Below are 24794 nucleotides of genomic sequence, written 5' to 3' on the forward strand. Positions count from 1 at the left end.
TAATTACAGTTTCTAGGTATGTGAAGTAGGCTGATGGGGTTTTGTGTCGTCAAAGTTTTGGGAAGACCAGAATTCTAAAGTATGCATTTAAAAGAAAGGGCTGGGTGGAGCACGTAGGGTATGTGTGTGTCGCCGCAGTTCCCTTGGTTTCAAGAGGAGGGATTTTAGGTAAAGCAAAGGGAAAGTGTGACGGAAAGGATTGCTGTGCTAAATGGGAGCAGCAAATGCCAGTACCGATGCCTTTGGGCATTTAGATCCAAAGCCTGCCTTTCTCGTTCTTCAGTTCCCCGGGGAGGCCTGTTGTGGGTGGGGAGGTGTCTTCCTTCTATTATTCCAGTCTCCCTAAGAACTTCGTAGACAGTTGAGCAATACTTTCTAAGGGCTGGTCGGAGTCAGGAAAGTCAGGTAAGGCGCCTCACGTGCACCTCAACGCGTCGCGGGAGCGCGTCCCGACCTCACACATGGACAAGCTCCGCCCGCGGCCGGCCTGAGTGGGTGTGGCCTCCGCCAAAGGCCCCGCCCCTAGAGCGCGTCGCGAGGGGCGCGAGGGGCGGGGCGAGGGAACTGGCAAGAAAGGGCGGGGAGCGAGGGGTGTGGGTGTGCTCGTGCCCGCGCGCTCGCGCCCGGAGTGTGGACGGGGGCGCGCCCGTGCGCGCGCAGGGGAGAGGCCAGCCCAGGCAGCCGTTGTCGGGTTCGACTGGAGGGGCGGGGGAGTCACCTGCGAGCGGCTGCGCTGGCGGCCAGCCCGCCCACCGCGTCTGGATCGCGCCGGCTGCGCGGGGCTGCGGACAGCACACACCCTGGAAGGCCCCGGCGGGGAACGGGCAGAGTCCGCGCCCTGCGTCCGCGACCAGGAGGATCGGACCTTCGCCTTCGCTGTCGCCGCCGCCGCCGCCCGCGGCCGTCGGGGTAGGTGAAGCCCGGGTGGGTGGTCCGCCGGCTCCTGACGGGCCGGGAGGGGAGACGCGAAACTTTCCGGGCGCTTCCTCCCGCGGTCCCGGAGCCGTCGCAGCGCCGGGAGGTGTCGTCGTCGCGGGCGGTGGCGGCCGACGCCATGTTGGGGTCTGTGAGAAACGGGGCGCTCCCGGCCGCTCCCCTCGCGCCGGGGCCGGCCCGCGGGCCAGTTGCCGCCGCCGTCCCGCCAGCCCGGGAGCGAGCCGCGCCCGCCCGTAGGACGCCGCCGCCGCCGCGGGGGGACGGGGGCCGCCGGGTAGGGTCCGGTCCACGGGTCTGCGGGGCGGGGGCCGGCGGACGCGGGAAGGAGCCCCGAGGCCGGGCGAGAAGTTGTGGGGCCTGAGGACGGGGGTCCTGGACACGGCCGGGGGCGTCTCAGGGTCGCGACAAATTTCTGGCCGAAAAGTTTGCAGGGTCTGCGTGTCGGGGACCTTATGACCTGAACTACATATTTGTATGTCACTTGGGAGACGAAAATGGCCCCGCAGAACTTGCTCTGATAGAAGCGATGGTTTATTTATTTGGAGCCTTTTCAAGTTTTATGATCCTTTGACGAATTTATTTTTCTTTTTAAAAATGTGATTGAAGGCCGAGAGCGCGCTGCCGGTGTTGCTTGAATAGCCTTGTGTGCTCTCCGTACATTCCAGCAATAACTTGAGTGTGCGGTGGAAGTGGGTATGAAGGTTACAGACACCTAAGCCCTCCTCGGTAATTCATAGACTCACAAAACGCGTTGTTGATAAATGCCTTCTTTGTCGTGTTGTGTAGTACGTTGCTGAAGAGACTCATTAAAGAAAGATTTAGACAGAAACTTTGAGAGTCTTAAAGGCATGTGTTCTCTTAAGAATAAGAAGTGATCTTGACAGTTTGAAGTTTTTTTCCCCTCCCTTTAGTTTCTTAAGGGTGAATGCCTACCGCGTTTTGAGCATTTACTTTTTTTAAATACTCTGGCAGCTCGTGGGGTCTTCACGTTAATTCAGTATTAACGAAGGCTTCATTATAATCTCTTTGGGTCCCGACCACACGGGGAATGAATGGTATTAAGCTATTTATTTGGAAAGCACACGTAATCGGCCTCTAAATAAAACTAGTATAGTGACTAAGCTTCAGAAGAAAATATTCAGCCTCAGTAAATGAATCTAAATGATTTTTAAATAAAGACATCTTGCTTTAAAATTCTGTTAAATGAACTGAAAAGGCTCTTAAACACAAATACAGTAAGCCCTAAAACCCCAAATTCTTGGAGAATTTTACTTTTTAGATCTAAAAATACAGCTTCTGCTCATATTTGATTGTCAATTTCTTTTTCCTTTTTTCTCTTTTTCCTTCCTTCCTTTTCCTTTTCCTAGACAGGGTCTCTGTCTGTCGCCCAGGCTGGAGTGCAGTGGTGTCATCTCCGCTCACTGCAGCCTCAAACTCCCGGGGCCCAGGTGATCCACCTCGGCCTCCTGAGTAGTTAGGACTACAGGAGCGCATCACCACACCTGGCTAATTTTTGTTTGAATTTTGTGGAGAGAAGGTTTTGCCATGTTGCTCAGGCTGTATTGCCAATTTCTGTTGTTCTTAAAAATTCTTTTAGTTTTGCTTCATTGTCAAGTAAATGGCATTATAACATTTTTTATTTAGAAATGAAATTAACTAATTTCACAAATGTAGCAGCCAAACTGGTATTTAACTGAGATCTTATGACTCTGAAGCCTTTTCATTTTTCCTGTAGCATAACTTTGTAGGATACATAACTCAGTCTTCTGGAGCAATCTGTCCATCTCGTTTGCTCTTATCACTGCTCTGACTTGAATTTAGTTCTTCAGTATAAATACTTATTTCCCAGCGAGCTGATTTACAGGTGATCCTTGTGATGAAATTTTTTCCTTAAAAATACTTAAGCCTATACTCTTTGAAGCCTTTTCTGCTCTGTTCTCTCATTCCACTCCCTTGCCCTCTCCAGAAATCAATTAATTTCTCCCATGGTATTACTGTAAATATCGCATAGATTCTGTCATGACATCTCCTTGACAGCAGGCAACACATCGGGTCTGATTTGCCTCTTCATTCCCTGCATGCCAAGAACATAGCAGATGCTCAGGAAAGGTTTGAATGGATGAGTACACGTATGTTTGTTCCTTGTAAATATGCTTCATGAATTTCTTTTGAAATTGTAAATTCCATGAGCATCATAGTTAAATCTTCTTTGTAGTCTTTTTCCCAATACATGCCATCAACTCCATTAAATCCACAGATTGGTTTTTATTATATATACACACACACACACACACACACACACACACACACACACACATGTTTTGTTGTTGTTTTGTTGAGAATTTAACTTAGTACCTGAGTGAATTTTCGCCTGGGGGTACAGAACTTGAATATTTATGAAATTTCTAAGTAGATAATGGATTAAAGTATAATTACTGATGTATGAGAGAGAAGCCATGGATCATCAAAAGGATTATAATCATAATTTTAAGTGTGATTGAATGTATTTGAACTTGATGGAAATATTGTTAATGCTTGAAAAATTTAAAGGTCATATTTATACATTTAAGCTCTTGGAACAAATCTCATTATAGCTCTATCAATTATTGTTTTGCCGGAATTGTCTTAGAATTTTTAGAATGCCCTGCTTAATAGAAAGTATATGAAAAATTTTTTTGTTGTTGTTTATCTTTGATGAACCAGCTTTGTACATGAGCTGCCTGCTTAATATTTAAAAGCAATGTATGTGTTGACTTAACTGAATAAAAAATACTTCATGGATACACTTTCACAGTGCTGTTTTAAGTTGGAAAACCTCTCTAGGTTAAGGTGTTTTGTAATTCTATAATGCCTATAGAATTCGGGGTTTATTTCCTGCCCCCACCCAAGATAACTTTCTCCCCTGTCAAACTGTAAACCACAAACTAATGTGCTCAATTTAGGGAGGTCCTGAGAAGAGAATAAAAGGCATTCAAATAGTTGCTGTGAATGCACTGGAAAGAAAGCAAGTTGCATGTAGGATGGACTGGAACAAATAAACCTTGTCCTGACTCAGCTCCTTGCTGGCTTGTGACTCTTGAACAAGCCGCTTCACTTCTGTAAGCTTCACTGGACTCATTTGTGAAATGGGCACAGAAATATTTGCCTCAGTGTTAGCGTGAGGGTCACCCAAGATTCGATGTTTGTGGAAGGGCCTGGAATACGATAGTAGCTATTATTTTAACAAATGAACAGAGTGGCAGTGAATTATATAGAATCATAGAATTTAAAAATTTTTAAAGGGAAGCAGCCTGTAGGAATACCTAGTTCAGTTTTCAGCCTTGGCTGCACATTAAAATCTCCTGAAGAGCTACTTAAAAAGAATATTGCCTGGATCCCACCCCAGGACAAATAAATCAGAATTACTGGGTTTGGGGACAGAACAAAGGTAATTTTGCCTCTTTGTTAAAACATCCCCGATTTTAGTGTTCAGTCAGGTGGAGAACCTTTGATTTAACTCAATTTCCCATCTCCTTTCTTATGCTTTTCATTTTGTAGTTGAGTAAAATGCAGAGGGGTTAGCTGCCAGCCAGATTCCTATCAGTCAGGCTAGAAAGGATGTATTAAATATTTGCAGCTGAGGAAAGTGAAGTGCATAGAGGTTAAGTAAGGGTTACATTCATTTCTGGCCAGAATGGCCACATTTGGAACTACACTTCACTAACTCCGGTGACCCCCACTGCTACTCTACAACAGCAGCCTGCATGTTGTGACCATGTTACTTGTCATCATTCAGAACCACTCTACCTCAGGTCTTAAACCCTGTGGCCAGATGGCGATGCAAGGGTCTGTTTTCTCTTTCTCTTTTCTGTCATAACTGGTTAAGCAGCTTTTTGTCCTTATTGTCACCTCCAGTCCCTCCTAGGCCATTAGTTGTCTTCCCTCTTTTCAACCTTGAACTCTGTAGTTCATGTTCTAACCATGAACTCACTAGACCACATAGTCCCTCCTCTCCTTGACCTTTGCTGGGTGTAACTGGTCAGTTTTCTACCTTTGTCCCTGCCCTACACTCTCCCCCAAAGTCACGCTTTTGGTGATCATTACATACTTGTTTTCTACCTGCTTTATACTAGTTACTTTCTAATCCTTTTCTTATCCCCAAGTTGACTTATTTTCTCTGTTGCTTTTTCACTCCAGTCAGGTTGCTAACCCCAGTCTCGAAACATGTTGAGCAGATGACCTTACTTCCTTCTAAAATGATTAAGATTTTATGATGTGAATTTTCTATTTTCTTCTTTGCACCAACTTCTTCATCTTCCCCCCCCCCCCGCCCCTTTTTCAGAAGTGGAACTATTTTTAATTCTTTGTACTTGTTTCATTTAAACAACAGTTGGGGAAAAAGAAAGATTTTTGTGTTCTTTGCTCACATTTTTATTACTTGTACATATAACTGTATTTTACTTTTTATACTTATATTTTTCTACACATTCTTCTTTGTATTTTCTTCCCAAACTAAAAGGCTTTGTCTATGAGAGAATGTGTTCATTATAAGATAATTAGGCGTATCAAAATATTATTAGTCTAGTGCTTAGAGATAACCACTACTGACTTTTTGGTGCATATCAGCCACTTTTAAATAACAAGTAGGCTTATACTATATGTGCTATTTAGAAACTTTTATTTAATAAAATGCTTTAACAATATTTCACATTAAATATTGTGTTTTCTAAAAAACTGCCTAAAAATTAATGGATGTGCCATAATTTATTTAGTCTCCTATTGTTAAATATTTAGGTTGTTTCCAGCTTTTCTATATTATAGACAAAGCTACAGTGAACTTCATGTGAACAACTTTGTACACTTTTAATTTTTGTATGTATTATTGGAAATAGAATTGTTGTATAAACTTTCTAAAGCATTTCTATTGCCAAAATGGCATTTAGAAAAGTTGTTCCAGTGTATATACAGTATTGTCAAGAATATAAGGGTCCATTTTTACCACATCTTAGGTGAGTAATATATGAATATCATTTTAATTTTTATTTGATTGGGACTGAGTGTCATTTTTTAAATTTACTGGTCATTTTCATTTTTTTAAAATTGACATTTGTTTCTTATTTTTCTGTTGGGATATTTTCCTCTTTTCTTGTGGATTTACAGGAGCCCTTTGCATATTACAAATGTTGGCCGGGTGCGGTGGCTCACACCTGTAATCCCAGCCCTTTGTGAGGCCAAGATGGGCAGGTCAGATTGCTCGAGTCCAGGAGTTTGAGACCAGCCTGGGCAACATGGCAAAACCCCGTCTCTACAAAATACACAAAAATTAGTTGGGCAGGGTGGCATGCCTATAGTCCCAACTACTCAGGAGGCTGAGGTGGGAGGATCGCTTGAGACTGGGAGGTAGAGGTTGCAGTGAGTTGAGATTGTGCCACTGCACTCCAGCCTGGGTGACAAAGCAAGACCCTGTCCTGTCAATCAATCAATAAATGTTGACCCTTTGCCATATTACTTTAATGTTCTTCCCCCAATTATGAAGTTTTAAAAGTTTAGGTAGTAAATTTTTTCTTTTATGATGGCTTTTTGTGATACATTTAACTATTCCTCAGCTAGAAATTTAGGTTTTATTTTTCACTATTAGAGTTAATGCCAGAGGGAAAACTTTTTATGTGCCACACCCCCTCCACCCCCTTTCTCCAGTTTATTTCTCCAGGTTAAATTTTTGTGGGTAAAAATTTCAGATATTTTATTGTTACACATTGCCATTAGTCCTTGATTTTTTTTTTTTTTTCCCATGTGTCCCACTGCTGATTGTGACCTTTTGGCAGGTTATTTAGTCTCTGAGAGTTGTGAAACATATGAGAGCAGGTTGAAAAGGTGCTTTGTGCTCCTTTGTGTCCCGTTCTTTTTTCCCTTAAATTTTCCTCCTGCTTTCTAAACTAGGGGTTCCCCAAAGTTTAGTCCTCTGCTCTCGTTTTTCTTCCAGCATCAGCCAGCATCTCTAGGTGGGTGACTACCAAATCTCTCTGTCCTGGAGCTCCCTGCCCATCCTGGCATCTCTGTCCCGCAGATGTGTTTGTCTTGTGGATGCCCTGGAGGACTTCAAGATAAACATGTCCCAAACTGATTTCTTCTCTCTCCTAAAACAAAGCTAGCATCTGCCCAGTGGCTTACCCTTAAGCCTTTGAAGTCATCTTACAGTCCTTTTTCATCCATGTGTTCAGTTATTTCCTAAATCCTATCTGCTATGCCTCAGTTATCTGCCAATTATTGTGGTTCAGGCTTTTCTTACCTTTCATTTAGAGATTGTTGTAATCCTCATATGACTGGTTTCTTTGTCTTCAGTCTTGCTTCTTCATATTCTCTTCAGTCCATCCCGTGTACTGCTTCTGTGTCTGATTAATATTTTCCTATTTAAAAACCTTTGTCTTCCCATGGCCTGTGTAATAAAGTGTAAACTCTTCTATCTGATGGTTGCTTTCTTTTGCAGTTTGTCTCATCCCTATCTTACCAGACTTCTTATCACTATGCCTTCTCCTGACCTTGCCTCCTCTGGCCTAGGCTCCATTATTTCCTCTCTGGGGGAATAGTCTTGTGTACCATCATCCATCCCCAAACCCCAGATAGTTTGAGCTACTACTTTTGCTTTAAGGCCCAGCTTGAATTTCTGGTCCTTACAAGACCTGTTCCTAGATGTTCTACCTGGTCAAAATTACATCCCACCTCAACTCCTTGGCCCTGGGACCTTTACCACTGTTTTTTTTGTTTTGTTTTGGTTTGTTTTAAGTTAAAAAGTTTTTGGCTTGTTTTTCCTCTGCTGTTTTAGACTTTGCACAGATTTAAGTTAATTGTATACCTCAGTTTATAGCACATTATAGGGATACCAAACCCCTTCCTTGTTTTGTTTTTTTCCTTCTTTGTCAGTTACTCCCATGATAATCTTTCCTATAGAAACACAACTGAATTATATATACTTGTCTATATAAATATGAGAATATAGCTGTCTTTCTCTTCCTCAGAGGTTTTCAGTTTTGAGTATCTTCTGTCCTTTAATACTGCTTTGCACAGAGCAAGTGATAATAAATGTTTGACTACTTGAAATTCATTAAAAATTAATGGTTTTATTTGCTTTTGAATTAATCACTTAGACTAAAACCCTGGAGATTAATTTTAGCTTTACTCTTCTATATCCAGTCTGCAATTCTGAATCTGACCTATCCTTTATTTTCCTATTGTAAGCTTCAGACTCTTCATCAACTTTCCCCTCTATTTTTGCAGTTACTTTTCAACTGGATCCTGTTTTCAGTCTCTTCCTTCTCAATTTATCTTTCGTTGTTTCTATAGTTATCTAAGAAAAATCCAGATCAGATCAGGCCACTCCTTCCAAAAGTTTCAGAAGGAAGTCTTAGATATTAACAAGATTTTGTGTTATTTTTCCCCCCTTTTCCCACTAAATAACTCCCCTACAGCCTCTGCTGCAGCTGTACAGTGTAACTTTTTTTTTTCTTTTGAGAGGGAGTCTTGCTCTGTGGTTCAGGCTGGAGTGCAGTGGCACGATCTTGGCTCACTGCAACCTCTGCCTTCTGGTTTCAAGCAACTCTCTTGCCTCAGCCTCCCAAGTAGCTGGGACTACAGGTGCATGCCACCACACTTGACTAATTTTTGTGTTTTGTTTTTTTTTTTTTTTTGGTAGAGACGGGGTTTCACTGTTGGCCAGGCTGGTATCGAACTCCTGACCTCAAGTGATCTGGTTGCCTCGGCCTTCTAAAATGTTGGGGTTACAGGCTTGAGCCACTGCACCTTGCCCAGTGTGACTTTTTATGTGCGTTTTTACTTGCAAAGCTTTGTGCCTTTATTTAGCCATTTTTTTGCCTTCTTAAATTCCGCTCATTCTTCACAACCTGTTTTCAGTGTTCAAATGCTGTATTCTCTGTGCCATGCCCTCACTCTTTGCTTTTTTTGCTTCCTTACTACTTTGCTAATGTTTTTAGTATAGTACTTATCTCCTTGTGTTTTGTATTAACCTTGTGGCGTATATCTTATTTCCTAGTGTCTGCTTTGTTCTTTTTTTCCACCAAACATAAACCTTGAATGTAGTGAGCAGGTTGTAACTGTTTTGAATGATACTAAAGAAAATTGGTCAGGGATGTCACAGGATAACTAATTCCTCAGTAGTGTTTTAGTTGAGCTTTACCAGGTTTATTTTTCAGATATTATTTAATTAATTAATTTTTTTCTTGAGACAGGTTCTGGCTCTGTGGTCCAGGCTGCAGTGCAGTGGTGCAGTCATGATTCACTGCAGCGTTGGCCCCCCAGGCTCAAGCTGTCCTCCCGCCTCAGCCTCCCGAGTAGCTGGGACCACAAGTGCACACCGCCACACCTGGCTAATTTATGTAATTTTGGTAGAAATGGGGTTTCACCATGTTGTCCAGGCTGGTCTTGAACTCCTGGTCTCAAGGGATCTGCCTGCCACGGCCTCCCAAAGTGCTGGATTACAGGCTTGTGCCATTATGCCCAAGCTATTTTTTAGATATTATCCAATGCTTTCTTTACAGCTGTCAGCACTGTACAGCTGCCCCTGTACAAATACTTTTAGAAATGATGTGAGTTTTTGAATCTGAGTTTTGTGATGATGAAAATATGCACGTAATCATCATTTTTTATTTACTAACTAAACAGCTGTGCTTTTTGGAGAAAGAAATCATTTATATATATTACCATGAGATTGAAATTTTTTAAAAAACAGGATCTGCCTTGCTCAATACTTAGAATTTTTAATTACATACTGTACTTAAATGGGCCACAACATTTGCTTGTAAATTTAAAATCTGTGGGTCCAGTGAAGCAGTTGATGGGTAGGGTGTGGTTCCTGTTTTCTGTGAAAATTAATATAGATGTTAAAAATGAAGTCTTTGATTTTCATCAAACTCAAGATTGGGAGCTGCTGCCACTTCTAACTGCTGATTGTATTCAGTTCAGTGCACATTGGCACATTGATGCCATTTATGCAAGCATTTTTTTTTAGGTGCTGTTGCAAATACAAAGTTGGAGGAAATAATCTTTTTTTTTTTTTTTCTTTTTTTTGAGATGGAGTCTCGCTCTGTCGCCCAGGCTGGAGTGCAGTGGCACTATCTCGGCTCACTGCAAGCTCCGCCTCCTGGGTTCGCGCCATTCTCCTGCCTCAGCCTCCCAAGTAGCTGGGACTCCAGGCGCCCGCTACCGTGCCCGGCTAATTTTTTGTATTTTCAGTAGAGACAGGCTTTCACCATGTTAGCCAGGATGGTTTCGATCTCCTGACCTTGTGATCCGCCCGCCTCGGCCTCCCAAAGTGCTGGGATTACAGGCGTGGGACACCGCGCCCGGCCTGGAAATAATCTTTTTTTAAGGAACCTCCACATCTGTTGGGAATGAGCAAGTACACACATTTTTATGAAACAAATAGACTATAAGTGCTATAAAGTGGTGCAAATAAAATGGTGTGAGGATTCACCTGGCCACAGGATATACCCAGCCACAATATTTGGCTGTGAGGCTATCGAACTGAGTGTGTCTTGAAGAATTGGTGAGATTTCAGTAAATAGAGAAGAACAAAGGAGGGAGGACATGCCGAGCTTAGAGGTAGGGAAAGAAGCCCAGAGCATATTCTGGTAATAGCTAGTAGTCTGGTTTGACTATAACAGAGAATGTAGAGAAAGAGGTAAAACTGGAAAGATAGATTGCAGCAGGTTAGGACTTGACTGTGAAGGGCTTTGAATACCAAGTTAAGGATTTTAGATTTGATTCTGTTGGCCAAGGAATCTGGTTTCTGAGTAGACTTACCTGATTATAGCTATAGTTAAAGAATATTAATCTTGCCTTGTGTAGGATGATTTGAATCAAACTTGTCCAGTCTGCAGCCCACGGGGTGCATGTAGCCCAGGACAGCTTGGAATGTGGCCCAATACAAATTTGTAAACTTTTTTTAAAACATTATGAGATTTTTTGTGTGTGTGATTTTTTTTTTCTTTTTCTTTTTTTCTTTAGCTCATTAGCTATCATTAATGTTAGTGTATTTTATGTGTGGCCTGAGACAGTTCTTCCAATGTGACCCAGGGAAGCCAAAAGATGGGACACCCCTGATTTAAATAATAAAAATTTAGAGGGCTTGTTTAGAACTTGAAGTCTATATTTGTTCCCTCTCTCCTACCTCTCTAAAGATGTTTTTAAACCTCCAGTGTGACTGTTCTGATTTTCCAAACTCATTTTCTAAAATATTCAACTATGACTTAGTTGTTTTTATGTACTATTTCTCTATCAAATCTAACCTATTTGAAACTGCCTTTACTAGTACCCTAAATTAGTCATAGCTTTGCCTTTTACTTCCTTTTAGTATTTGAAGAATCATTTTGAGTATATCTTATGGTTATTACCATAGATATGTAATTTTTTTCCTCTTATTTTGTCAGTGGCCATTCCAAATACATAATATAGGTCCATATGCAAAAAATATTTCTGTCATATTTATTTCTGAAGGTGAAGGTATAATGGAAAGAATATGCATTTAAAAAAAATGGGTGGGCACGGTGGCTCACGCCTGTAATCCCAGCAATTTGGGAAGCCGAGGCGGGTGGATCACCTGAGGTCAGGAGTTCAAGACCAGCCTGGCCAACATGATGAAACCTTGTCTCTACTAAAAATACAAAAATTAGCAGGATGTGGTGGTGGCCACCTGTAATCCCAGCTACTCAGGAGGCTGAGTCGGAATTGCTTGAGCTCGGGAGGCAGAGGTTGCAGTGAGCCGAGATATTGCCATTGCACTTCAGCCTAGGTGACAAGAGCAAAACTCTGTCTCAAGAAAAAAAAAAAAAAAAACCCAGAAAAAAAAACAAAAAACTGTGAGGCCGTTTGATAATTGCTTAGTTAGTTCATGACTCAGTTTTTTTGTAAAATTAAAGTAATGATCACTTAACAAAATCGAGATTATTAAATGAAAGAGTATAATGTGAATGTGCTATTATGCACATGTGTGGGTGCTGGGTAAATGTTAACTTCCTTTTTTTCTTTCTTGGCTGAGACTGTAGAATAAGTCTACTTTTCAGTAATAGGCATATTTGGTGCCTATGAGAGATTTAAAGGAAAAAAAAACTGACCTCTCTCTAAATGTGAATCAGAATTTTGAAGTTTCCATGTTTCTCAATCCAGTTTTAATACATTTAAAATTAACATATGAAAGTTTTGTCTTACCAAAGAAGTGAACCTCTTCCTTTTATCACTAATAATTTCTACAACACATACTGTGTAATCGGTTGGCCACAGTGGCAGAAATGCTGGTGGGAAGGGACAGAAAAAATCTTGACCTCTCTTTTAGATGGAATAAGTAGAGTTTTATAAAATTCCAAACGCAATTTACTAAATTTTGAAATATTTCTTTTTTTTTTTTTCTTTGAGATGGAGTGTTGCTCTGTCACCGAGGCTCACTCAGCTCACTGCCAGCTCCACTTCTCGGGTTCAAGCCATTCTCCTGCCTCAGCCTCCCGAGTAGCTGGGACTACAGGCACCCACCACCACGCCTGGCTAATTTTTTTGTGTTTTTAGTAGAGACGGGGTTTCACCGTGTTAGCCAGGATGGTCTCGATCTCCTGACCTTGTGATCTGCCCACCTTGGCCTCCCAAAGTGCTGGGATTACAGGCGTGAGCCACTGCGCCTGGCCAAGTATTTCTTTTTTGCTTTATCATCCTAATGATTTATTGAGACTCTTACCAAGAATTCCCTGATTATTATTCTGGTTACTAGACTGTAGAACTTTTGAAAGTAAGAACTGTCTTGTCCCTTGCAGATGGTAGGTACTCAGAATATTTGTTCATTTGACTTAGATGTGTTAAGAGAGGAATAGTTTGCTTTACTGTTATACATTTGCTCAGGAGGATGTACCTCTGGTAGTTTATTGCTGTTTGTTTTTACCTCCATTCTCCAGTTGCTTGTTAGTTTCTCCCTTTCCTTTTACATTTTCGGTAAAGTTTCAATCCAGCAGTGACACGGATTTTAAAATCTTGATTGAGATTAAGAGTCATAAATTTGATTAAAAATTAACTTGTAGACAAGTAAGTCTACAGTAAACCAGAAAATATGGCCCATTTACTATCAAAGACTCACTATTTTAAGGACTGAAAGGGCTTTAAAAATTATTTATGTTTTCTTCTTTAAAAAAAAAGGTAAGTAATTTGTATGAAATCACTTATTTAGTGTCTGAACCAAGATTAGAATCCAGGTCCTTTAGTTCATAGTTCATTGGTTTTTCACTATAATGCACAGTTGAATACTGAAGCTCACTGGTAACAGATATCATGGGTATATGTAAGAAATAAAATTAGATTTGTTTTCATTTTAAACTCACCTGTAAGGATGAGATAAGAAGTATTGATTTCCAGCAGGGAGAACTAAGACATAGTAGTCTATGACATTTGGTCTCTCTTCTCAATTGTAAGTAGGATTCTGTGTCTTTTTTTTTTTTTTTAAGAATTTTTTATCTTCTAGTATTACATTTTTAACAGGTGGTAGACACCCCACTGAAGAACATGTTACTTTAAAAGCAAGATGTTACCTAAAGACTAGGATGGAGCTTAGACAATGTAAATGCAGTTCTTGTCTGTAGTGTGAAGAAGATGACTTGAAACCTTTCATTATTTTTAAAAATTGGTATATAAAAGCTGGCTTTATAAAAGATATGCTTCTGCTCTAATTTTTACGTTTTAACTGTGAATTAACACTGCCAGGCACTGCTGGAAAAGAAGACAACGTAAAAAAAAAAAGTCAAATGGAAAACTGTTGAAATTAATGGAATTCTATGAAGTACCTGAATGTGAAAAGAAACAAGTATCAATAGTTTTCCTATTAACAGTTTCAACTAATTAGAAAACATACTGTAAAAAAGAGCTTAGATTCAAAGTGGCAACAAAAAGTATACAAAATCTGGGAGCCTATTTAAAAAGTGTAACTATCTTACAGAAGAAACATACAAAATTACTATGCCATAAAAGATTTGAAGCCTTGGGAGGAGATAACTATCACCCTTAAATGCTCAAAACTGTGAAGATGTTAATTCTAAAGTAATTTATGGATATAATGTAAGTTTCATCAACATTTCAGTGGGATTTTATTCTTTTATTTATTTATTGTAATTAAAAAATGGTTCTAAACCTTAGCTACATGTTACAATTATCTGAGGAGCTTTAAAAATAACTCCGGTGCACAGGTCTTACCCTGCATACCCCAGACCAATAAAATTAGACTGTCTGGGGGAAGAATCTAGGTATTGGTGTTTCTTAACCCTTGATATTTATCAGCAGAGTTCATTGTTCTTAATTTTGGGTTTTGGGTTTCTTTTCTGAGTAGTTATTATTATGTTGATTTCATATTTTATAACTCATTTCATAGAGTCTTCCAAAGAACAAAAACAAAATTTACTTATTTTAAAAAGCAAAATAAAACTCATTCTAGTGTGCAGTTACCATATGGTTTCATTGGGCATTTATAAATCTAAGATATATTATGGGTTCTTAGTGATTTTGCTTTTCCTATATCTTGAAGCATTTTGCTATTTCATTTTCCTGCGAATTATTTAATCATTATTCATTAATTTCCCCCAATTATGCCAAAAAGAAGCAAATGGAAGAGTGATAGAATTGCCAAGAAGGATGATGCAATGGTGAAATATAGCATCACTACTGTATCATTTCTCAAAAATATGAAAACAGTTTTGAGATCATCCTTTTTAGCATTTTTCTTCTAAGCTTTCATTTAACATATTTGGGAATTCATATTTTTTCATTTTTTATTTTCTGTCTTTAATAGCAAAGAAAAAAGGCAAAGGAAGACATTTCAGAACTATTAGACAAGTCAGAAGATAAATGCAAAGAAACAACACTTAATAATGATAGTGAATTTAATTGTATAAGTGAAACCTTAGACTGTGAGTCTTCAAATGATGATTTCCTAGATGAGTTTTTTTCAAACTCAAGAATTAATGAACAATATTTCTAAGGACAAAAAATGGAAATAATACACGTTCATGCATTCAAAGTTTCATTCAAAGGATGTTTCCTATTTCAGATATATATACCTTTAATATCAGAGAAAGATGGAATTAAAAAATTTGTTATAAGTTTTTATAAAGCTTTCTCTTAAAGTTTTTTTTAAAACTACCCCTTTATTCTCACTTTTGTAAATTCGTCATAAAATTACTTAAAATATTAAAGACAAAAAGTATTTTCGACCCAGATAGTCAATTGAGGTGAACATTTTTTTCTGATATGCCAGAGACTAAATCTGCCTTGTGATTCCAATGTGAAGCTAAGGTTGAGAAGCACTATTCTAAGTAGATTTTATCTAGACAAATAAACAAGATTAGTTAAAATGTTTTTAAGAAAGTTGAGTAATGGTCTAGAATACAGCTACCAGATACAAGGTACTGACATAAGAATTATGAAACAGATTAATGGATTAAAGCAGATAGCCCAGAAGCAGATCTTAGAATAGGTAAAAATTTAATACGAGAGTGACATCAATCAGTAGATTAGATTACTAACAGCATTAATGCAAGCTACCACTCGTTGACTGCTTGCTGAATGTTTTATATGCATTATCTCATTCATCTTTTCCTTGATGTATCTGCTATTATTCCCATGTACAAGTAAGGATATCTGAGGTCACACAGTTCTTGGTGTTTCTGGAACAATTAATTAGCTCTTTTAGAATGCAAATATTTGAAAAGCAAAAAAGTATTTTCACATATGCCAGAATACATTTTAGGTGGATAAAATAATTAAATGTAGAGTTTGTATCATAAAGCATAGATAATAAATAGGTGCATCTGATATCTGGATAGGGAAGCTTAGGAGTGGTGGAAGAAAAATAGCGCAAAGAAAAGATCTGTAAGTTTAACTGCTTAAGAAGTACAACTGACTTCATGTCAAACACCATAAAACTATAGATTAATATACTAGGAAAACAAAAAAAAAGGGATTAATAGTCTTTATGTGTAACACACTCATAGATTAATAACCTCTAAATATATAGTCTTTAAAATGCAAGTGATTAATAAACACATTAGAAAATCATTGACCTCATTAGGTAGCTACGGAAGAAAACATTAAATTAAATTAAAAGTACTTTTCCTTCCTATCTTAGGACCTTTGCTTATAGTATTTCCTTTGCATGGCTGACTCCTCATCCCTTAAGACTCAGTTTATAATACTACCTCAGTGAGGCCTTTTTGTACTACTCAGTCTAAATGAGTTTTCCCCTGTATCTTGACAACCGGCTTATTTCCTTCATTGTACTTCATCTTTTGGAATTACCTATTTATTTATTTATGGGCTTTCTCTTCCACTGGCCTCTAAGCTCTGAGAAGAAAAGCGTAATACCCAGCATCTATAGAGTGCTCAGTGAATAATTGTTGAATGAATAAACACTAAATAAAAGTGAGTAAAATGAATAAAGCAAGATGCTTTTAAAAATCGGTCATGCTTGCTGAAATTTTTAAAGAAAAATACCATATGTAGGACAAGATGAAATGGATACTGTCATTGTGCTGCTTGGTAAATTGGTGTTACTTCCAGAATGGAAATTTTGTAAAAGGTAGCAAGATTCTTTATTCATGCCTTTTGAGCCAGTAATTTTATTTACTTCTTGAAATTTGTTCTATGAAGCCATTTCTGCAAGGGGACGGGAAAGCTTTCTCTTAGTTCTTCCTATATACACTGGTATTCTTTCCCAAGAAAAGTAGACATTAATCAAATTGGGCCATGTTTATAGCTCTCTTCTGCTTCCTCCCCTCAATGAGTAGGATATGGGAAGGACTCAGTCCTTGGCTAGGCCCTGTAATCTTGTGTTCTAACCCTCTCACAAAAGTGTAGCATTCTTACTGCTTGGGGCACCTCAGTGTGCTGGAGGTAAATTTAGATTTGGGCTTAAGGGGAAGGGAGAGGCCTTGCTTAGGCCCTGAACCAAATGGTAGTGCCCTAATCCAGTTTACCAAAGAACATTATTTGGGGTATCTAGCTGTAACCCAGATAAAAGTGGTACTTTGATTTCCCTTTTGATAACCTCTCTCCACTCCTTTCTTTCCTTGCTGCCTCCTGTTTCCCTACCACCATTCTCTCTTTCTCTCTCTTATATGTGTTTGTGTGTGTGTGCAGGGCAGCATTTATGTATTCCTGGGTTTTTTAGTTCATTGCTTACCATCTTTTTTATGTCTGACACATACAGAAAATATTCAGGACCAAAAAGGATAATGGAAGAGGCTGCTTAAGGCCAAAGGCCTTAGGTTTTGTGCATGCCCATAGTTTTTCAGATATATGTCACAACCCACCAATCAATCAAGTGGGCTGCCAGAATCATTAAAATAAATGAAGATAAAAGAATGCATCATTCATTGTTGAAATAATTATACGAGTGTTTGTAACCTTGCAATATAAAATGTGTTTATGTTGGTCATTGTCAAACTTTGAAAGCTATTTGCTTTGCTGCAGCCAAATACTAATTAATAATGCCCCAAACCTTGCTTAAGTTGCATCATTATTAAACAGGGAGAAAGATTTATGAACAAAGATTTAGACTTAATATATTGAAACATTTGGACAATGAAAGATTATCAAGACACCAGCTGGGTAAATCATGACATATCCATCCTTTCAGGTGATTTGTTCAAGGTAGTATTCCCTTATCTTCAGTATTTTTAGGGTTTGCAATGAAGGTCCAGAGGTTAGTTAATAGCTTCCTTAGAGTTCTTGTAGATTCAGTGGAGTTCTTAGGAACAATTAGTGTACCATAACATACTGTAACATCACAGAGAAATCAGATTTGAGGCTTGTTCTGCTGTGACAGCCTTGGGCAAGTTATTTAACCCCTCTTTGGCTGTTTACTCATCCATAAAATGGAGCTAATAGTGCATGTATCATAAGGTTGCTGTGAGGAGGAAATACAGTAATAAGTGCAAAGTGCTCAGCACATTGGTTGGACTCCCTATGAGTAGAGTTCATTCCAGGTTAAGTTTTGCTTTTACATTATTAAATATCTTTGTGCCTTAATTTCTTCATCAGCTCACAGTTCAGCTAATATTATTAGATGCTTCTTTGGGGGACAATAAAAACTTCTCTAGTAACTTCATAGGCATTTCAAACAGTTCAAATCAGAAAATAATATGAAAAGCACAGTACAAATTTATGATAGTATTAATTCTCATAGTAGCAATAATAGGAAATCTGTTTGTGTTGTATATGAGTTAATAACGATATGTTCAAATGGGTGGACTCAGTAGTTGATTCAGGTGGAGAGAAATAGATCCTTTCAGTTTTTTTTTTAAAGTGCCAATGTCTTTTCCTGTTTTAGGGCCTTTGCAGTTACTCCTTTTGTCTGGAATATTCTCCCCTATCCTTACCCCTTCTTATGTCTGTCCATCTAGTACAGCTGAAATGACAACATTGTAGAAAGGCCTTTCCTGACCATGTAGTCTGAATAGCTCTCAGTTTCTTTTAAAAATCACTTTAAAAAAAAAATCATAGCATTGATTAGTACTAGATTTCAATTTTGTTTTCTCTTTCCTTCTCTCCAACTAGAATGTAAACCCTGAAGAGCAGGGACCTTGCCTGTATTGTTTAATTTATTATTTTTTAAAATTTTTATCTGTTGTCACATACTCAAGTATGATCGCCTGTGGTGTTTATTTTTACTTTTCCTGCACCTAGATCCTAAGTGCCTGACAAATACTTGTGGAATGCTTGAATATAATGTAAAGTATGAAAAAATGATCCATAATTATACTTTCCAGAGATAAATTACCATTGTTGATAGTATAGTATATATTTTTTAACTTTATGTTGTGTGTGTGCTTACAGATACAGATGTCTATGATTATGCTTTTGAAATATGTATTCCATTGAGTCTAAAGATAAACATTTTTTACTATATGTATTTGAAATTGGTCTTATAATCAACGGTATGCTGTGGTTTAATTGGCAACATTTTTCTCTTTATGAGTTGCACATAAATATGTCTTAAAATCTATAGCACCTTAGATGTGATGAAATGTGGTATTTATTTGAAATAAAAATGAGATCAGGAAGTTCATCTCTTTTCCCCACCTAAAGATCTTGAGCATTTCCCTTGTCACTGGTTTTAGATCTGTCTTATTCTCAAGATATATGATTAAGGGTGTGTCATAACTTTTTCAATCAGTTCCTCTTGATGGCTATTTGGAGCTTTTCCAATTGTTTTCCTGTTATAAACAATGCTGTGCTGATTATCCTTGTATATATCTCTATGCACGTGAGTGAAATTTATTTAATTAGATTGGTGAATACACATATTCTCTGTAGTGTACAAGGGTACCTATTTCCCTATACCTTTATGAGTACTGAATCTTAGTAAATTTAAAAATTTTTATTAATCTAAGTGAAAAATATACTAATGTTTAATATAATTTCTTTAATTATGATAGAGATTGAAACCTCTTTTCCTGTTTATTAGCCGTTTTTATTTCCTTTTCTGTGATGTACTTGTGCATAGGATAGTAGGCTTTTAATTGGCTGGCATATTAGTCCTAATTAGAAACCTTTCCAGTTTGGAACCATGCATTATCCTATTAATTCTTGGGAACAACTTTTAGGCCTGCTACATCCTACTTTTGTGGAGGACAAGAGGGCTTTATAAGGACCCAAGATTTGCAGGGAGACAGAATTCAGAAATAACCAGAATTCTAGTGTCCTTTATAATGAAGGCCAAGAAGGGCTATAGTGTCAGTTTTTGAGCTGAATACTGGAACTTACATACTATGCTGTTAGTCTTTAAACTTTAAATGGTCTTCTTCTCAAGGCTTGTTGTTCTTTAATATGACTTGGTTATAGTATAGTAGTATTAGTTTAGTAGGTTTGAAATAGGATACAACTCTGGGACTTGAGTGAAGTCAATATTGGACTTAGAGATTAAATGTTTAGATTAATAGGGTGTTTTGCACATTGTTAAAATGTTATTAACATTTTTTAGTACCTTTTCTGTGTCAAACCGTATCAGTTTCAAACAAAACTATCAGATGATCTCTGCTTTTTAGGTTCTGCATGGTCTCTGGAGGAACAGATTTCAGTCCTTTGGTAAAAGTGAAGCTAGAATATACATGGAATATGGATAGCTCACAGGAAGGGTTTTAGTCTAGCATGGGAGTTTAAAGGAGGCTTCCTGGAGGAGACACGATTACCTAAACTAAGTCTCGAAGGATGAATATGAGTTAGCTGCAGTAGTAAGTAGTAAAAGGAACAACAGTGAAATGGACTACAAGTAGTAGAGTGTTCTTAGAATATGACATTTGAGGTGAAGACTGACTTATGGTGAGGTTGGAGTGACAAGAACCAAGTAATGAAAGGCCGTGAACACCCTGTATTTAATAGGTTAAGGGATCATTTTGAGCAATGATGGGGTCAAATTAGGGTTTTAGAGATCACTGCCCAAAGATTGATTTGGGGGCAAGATTGAAGGCCAGGACACATGTTGGGAAACAGTTCTAGTAATCCAGGTGAGAGAATTAAGGCTGTAGCTCAGTGGTAATAGCTTACTTGGAAAATTGTAGTCATTTTTCTTAGTTTATGTAACATTTTGTTCCCTATTGTTCAGAATCCCATTGAGATTACATTTCATTGAATGGGGTTTATTATTTTGCAGAGATAAGTTATGTTAATTATCCAATCGTCTTTCATTCAATTATGTCTGTAGGAAGTTTATACTTTTACAAATACCTGCTTAACTAGTATGGTGCTACGTGGAGATGATAAATAAGTGTTTTTCATCATTTTAAAAATTGAGAAATGTTAGCCCTTTTGATGTGCTTAGTGATTATCTTAGAGGGAAAGAATTTTAGAACATTTTGCCTTTGTGTAAAAGCAATGATTTGTTAGCTTAATTTATATATAATTAACTTATAGGAATTTATAATTTATATGTGCTAATTTCTTTTTCTTTTTTTTAAAAGGCTATTAGTGAAAGATGGTGGATCGCTTGGCAAACAGTGAAGCAAATACTAGACGTATAAGTATAGTGGAAAACTGTTTTGGAGCAGCTGGTCAACCTTTAACTATACCTGGACGAGTTCTTATTGGAGAAGGAGTATTGACTAAGTTGTGCAGGAAAAAGCCCAAAGCAAGGCAGTTTTTCTTGTTTAATGATATTCTTGTATATGGCAATATTGTCATCCAGAAGAAAAAATATAACAAACAACATATTATTCCCCTGGAAAATGTCACTATTGATTCCATCAAAGATGAGGGAGACTTAAGGAATGGATGGCTAATCAAGACACCAACTAAATCTTTTGCAGTTTATGCTGCCACTGCTACGGAGAAATCAGAATGGATGAATCATATAAATAAATGTGTTACTGATTTACTCTCCAAAAGTGGGAAGACACCCAGTAATGAACATGCTGCTGTCTGGGTTCCTGACTCTGAGGCAACTGTATGTATGCGTTGTCAGAAAGCAAAATTCACACCTGTTAATCGTCGCCACCATTGCCGCAAATGTGGTTTTGTTGTCTGTGGGCCCTGCTCTGAAAAGAGATTTCTTCTTCCCAGCCAGTCCTCTAAGCCTGTGCGGATTTGTGACTTCTGCTATGACCTGCTTTCTGCTGGGGACATGGCCACATGCCAGCCTGCTAGATCAGACTCTTACAGCCAGTCATTGAAGTCTCCTTTAAATGATATGTCTGATGATGATGACGATGATGATAGCAGTGACTAAGGACACATTTGGGAGTATTTAATCAGGTGTGGCTATCTGAGAAATCAACTTTGGGGGAAATGTAAGATTCTGAGCTCTCTCTCTGTTTTGTTCTAGCCATGAATTTGCCTGAGAAACTTGTAACCTATGTGCCTCAATATATTCCATAGAAAGTAGGTCCCCCTGCCTTCTCCCACTCCTCACACTCTTCTACAGGGATAGGCTTTTGCAAATATATCAGATAAATTTTTTGTTTCTTGTTTATTTTTAGGTTATTTTCTTGGAAGGTTGGGAAAAGATGTTTGTTTTAACAGGTCATGTACTACGTTGTTGTTTTCATTTCTGTTATAAGTAAAACTAAAAGCACAGAATGGTGGGAAAGGGGCTATAATGTGGTTCATTAATAATGTTAGCAGCTTTTTTCTAACCATCCTGTCTAATGGTTAAGACACCAGTAACAAAAACACATGATTTGGAAATACTTTGGCTTTTTCATATACCTAGTGGTGCCTTATCATAATAGCACTGTTACATGAAATAAGCCCCTACCTTCTTACTTTCTGGTTTGTTGAAAAAATACACTGGTGCTCTTTGAAGTGATAAAATGAGTGTTTATGAATGGGTGTAATTAGGAAATACTTCTCATCTGACAGCTACAAATAACTAAGTTTGGAGGTATTTTCACTCTATATGAATAAATATTTTTCCATAAAATAGTTGTGATTATATTTTTGTTTTATATAGGTCCCAAATTATAATTGTCAAATATATATTTTAAATTAATAAAAGTTGTCATTCTTAGGAATTTGGTTTGAAATTTATCAGTTATACAGAATTGTCATACTGCATTAGCTTCTACCTTTAGTAAGACATATTTTTTAGGTATAAATTCTTATGCTTTAACATTATTTCTGGATTGAAAATCTTATAAAACCCTTGAAAATAAACAGTCTCTTTTTTACAAAGCCTGTGTTAGAGCACAGATTTACCTAGGCTTGAAGATTTGGAAGAAATAATATGTAAGAATGGCCTCAAGGCAGACCACTTTAAGTTTGGCTAGACTTCATATCGTGGAAGTATTGTCTATTTCAGTGTGAAACTATCTTGAATTTGCAAATATAGTGTTATATTTTATAAAGTTTTGTAAAATCCCAAACAATATTTCTATTTTTGTAAAACAATTGTATGTATAATCTGTATTTGAAATCATTTTGCAATCTATGGAAATAGAGTAGCAATTGCTATTTCTAAATTGTGAACTTTAAGTCAATCTAGATTTATTTTGAGAAGTAATTGTTCACTCTTTACTTTTGAGGCAGCCATTAGGTTGAAAGTATATATTTATCATATAAAACTTGATGCGTTTTGCACTACTCTTTCCATTTATATGCTGCAAACAACTACAGTCTTTGAAATATGGAAAATCAGCAGTCTAAAGTTTGTTTTAAATTCTAAATTTAAAAAATCTTCAAATCTGAATATACCGCAAATGTCATGAGAAGTTTGATTCAGTAACTTGTGATGGAGGATTCTTTGGTATCTTACTGTTTGGTTAAGGCACTAATTTTACTTACCTATTAGATTTTGAAAGTATCTGAGATATACAAATCTCCCTGTAGGAAATGTGAAAGAAAAGCACAACAAAACTAGGGTTTTTTGTTCATTTGCTTGCTTTTATGATTTTTTTTGGTTTGTTTTAATATCAGGTGGATTTTTGTTTCTAAGCAATATATACATAAAATCAACCAACATATCTGAAAAGGATCATGAAACCTGAGAAATGCTAATGGAGATTTGCTGGTACATAGGAATCTAGCAAATTCAGGAACCAAGGGGAAATGTTGTGAGATAACATTTACATTGTCAACCTTTATTGACTTTGTTTTTACAATAAAAAATATTTTACAACTTACTTTCTGTTCTCTGTATATTGTGACTTGAGGATTTACCCCCTCTGCTAAGATAATAAAGATATTATGCATATTTTGCCTAATAATTCAACAACTGTGAGTGCCTGCTATGTGCCAGGCATTGTTCTAGGCAGTAGGTTAGAGCAGTGAACAAAACTCCCTTTTGGATTTACCGCACGAAGGCTCAGAAAACATTCTTCCAAGTGTTGAAGATATGGCTTAATGTTACTGGGAAGTGCCTTAATATAATTTGGCTTTGCTGTCCAATTACTGTTAGAAGGAATGACTTGACCTGAATTGACATGTCTCAGAAGGAAACATACACATGGCTGACAGGTATATGAAGAAATGTCCAAGATCACTAATCATCAGGGAAATGCAAATTAAAACCACAATGAGATAATGGTAATACCTGATACCTGTTGAATGACTTATCAAAAAGATGAAAGAAGTGTTGGCAAGGATATGCAGAAAAGGAGACCCTTGCACACTGTTGGGAATGTAAAGTAGCACAGCCATTATGGAAAACAGTAGAGGTTCCTCAAAAAGTGAAAATAGAACTACCTATAGCATCTAGCAATCCCACTACTAAGTATATATTAATATCTGAAGAAAATGAGTATGTTGAAGAGATAATCTGTACTCCCATGTTCATTGCAGCAGCATTCACAGTAGCCAAGATATGGAATCAACCTAAGTGTCTATCAACAAATGAATGGATAAAGAAAAGGTGGTCTGTATACACAGTGGAATATTAGCCATAAAAAATTAAATCCTGTTACTTGTGACAACATGGATGGAACTGATGGACATTAAGTGAAATATGCCAGGCACAGAAAGACAAATACTTCATGATCTTGCTTATATGGTGTGGAATCTAAAAAAGTTGAGCTTATAGAACCAGGAGTAGAATGATGATTACCAGGGGCTGGTTGAGGGGTTGGGGGTGGGAGATGCTGGCCAAAGGATACAAAATTTCAGGAGAAATAAATTCAACAAATCTATTGTACAATATGATGACTATAGTTAATAACAATGTATCCTTGGAAATCAGCGTAGATTTTGTGTTCTCACCACAGAAACTGATGAGTATGTGATGTTAATTCGCTCAATTTGGCCATTCTGCAATGTATCCATCTTTCAAAACAAATACACAGTACCATATATATATATTATATATATAATGATATATAATGTATAATTATATATTACACAGTACCATATTAGATATA

General features: G+C 37.7%; 1 protein-coding gene across 1 annotated transcript, besides 4 other annotated features; it reads left to right on the forward strand.

Moving 5' to 3' along the window:
- Positions 406 to 1045: a silencer, noted in NCBI's record as "silent region_19381". NCBI's record gives its function as "represses an Ori minimal core promoter by ATAC-STARR-seq in GM12878 lymphoblastoid cells {active_cell/tissue: GM12878}" and the evidence as "EXISTENCE:reporter gene assay evidence [ECO:0000049][PMID:35858748]".
- PLEKHF2 (pleckstrin homology and FYVE domain containing 2) lies at positions 664 to 23564 on the forward strand. Its single transcript, NM_024613.4, has 2 exons — positions 664 to 909; positions 20910 to 23564. Exon 2 carries the CDS (start codon positions 20924 to 20926, stop codon positions 21671 to 21673), a length of 750 nt encoding a protein of 249 aa, NP_078889.1. The 5' UTR covers positions 664 to 909; positions 20910 to 20923; the 3' UTR covers positions 21674 to 23564.
- Positions 1066 to 1225: a silencer, noted in NCBI's record as "silent region_19382". NCBI's record gives its function as "represses an Ori minimal core promoter by ATAC-STARR-seq in GM12878 lymphoblastoid cells {active_cell/tissue: GM12878}" and the evidence as "EXISTENCE:reporter gene assay evidence [ECO:0000049][PMID:35858748]".
- Positions 4738 to 4887: an enhancer, noted in NCBI's record as "active region_27648". NCBI's record gives its function as "activates an Ori minimal core promoter by ATAC-STARR-seq in GM12878 lymphoblastoid cells {active_cell/tissue: GM12878}" and the evidence as "EXISTENCE:reporter gene assay evidence [ECO:0000049][PMID:35858748]".
- Positions 10421 to 10490: a silencer, noted in NCBI's record as "silent region_19383". NCBI's record gives its function as "represses an Ori minimal core promoter by ATAC-STARR-seq in GM12878 lymphoblastoid cells {active_cell/tissue: GM12878}" and the evidence as "EXISTENCE:reporter gene assay evidence [ECO:0000049][PMID:35858748]".
- Positions 23565 to 24794: the final 1230 nt, after the last annotated feature.

Source organism: Homo sapiens, chromosome 8 (assembly GCF_000001405.40).
Source record: "Homo sapiens chromosome 8, GRCh38.p14 Primary Assembly".
Classification (NCBI taxonomy): Eukaryota; Metazoa; Chordata; class Mammalia; order Primates; family Hominidae; genus Homo; species Homo sapiens.

Bases quoted from the DNA above. Each gene is read 5' to 3' on its own strand.
- PLEKHF2 (NM_024613.4), top strand. From the start codon at position 20,924: ATGGTGGATCGCTTGGCAAACAGTGAAGCAAATACTAGACGTATAAGT.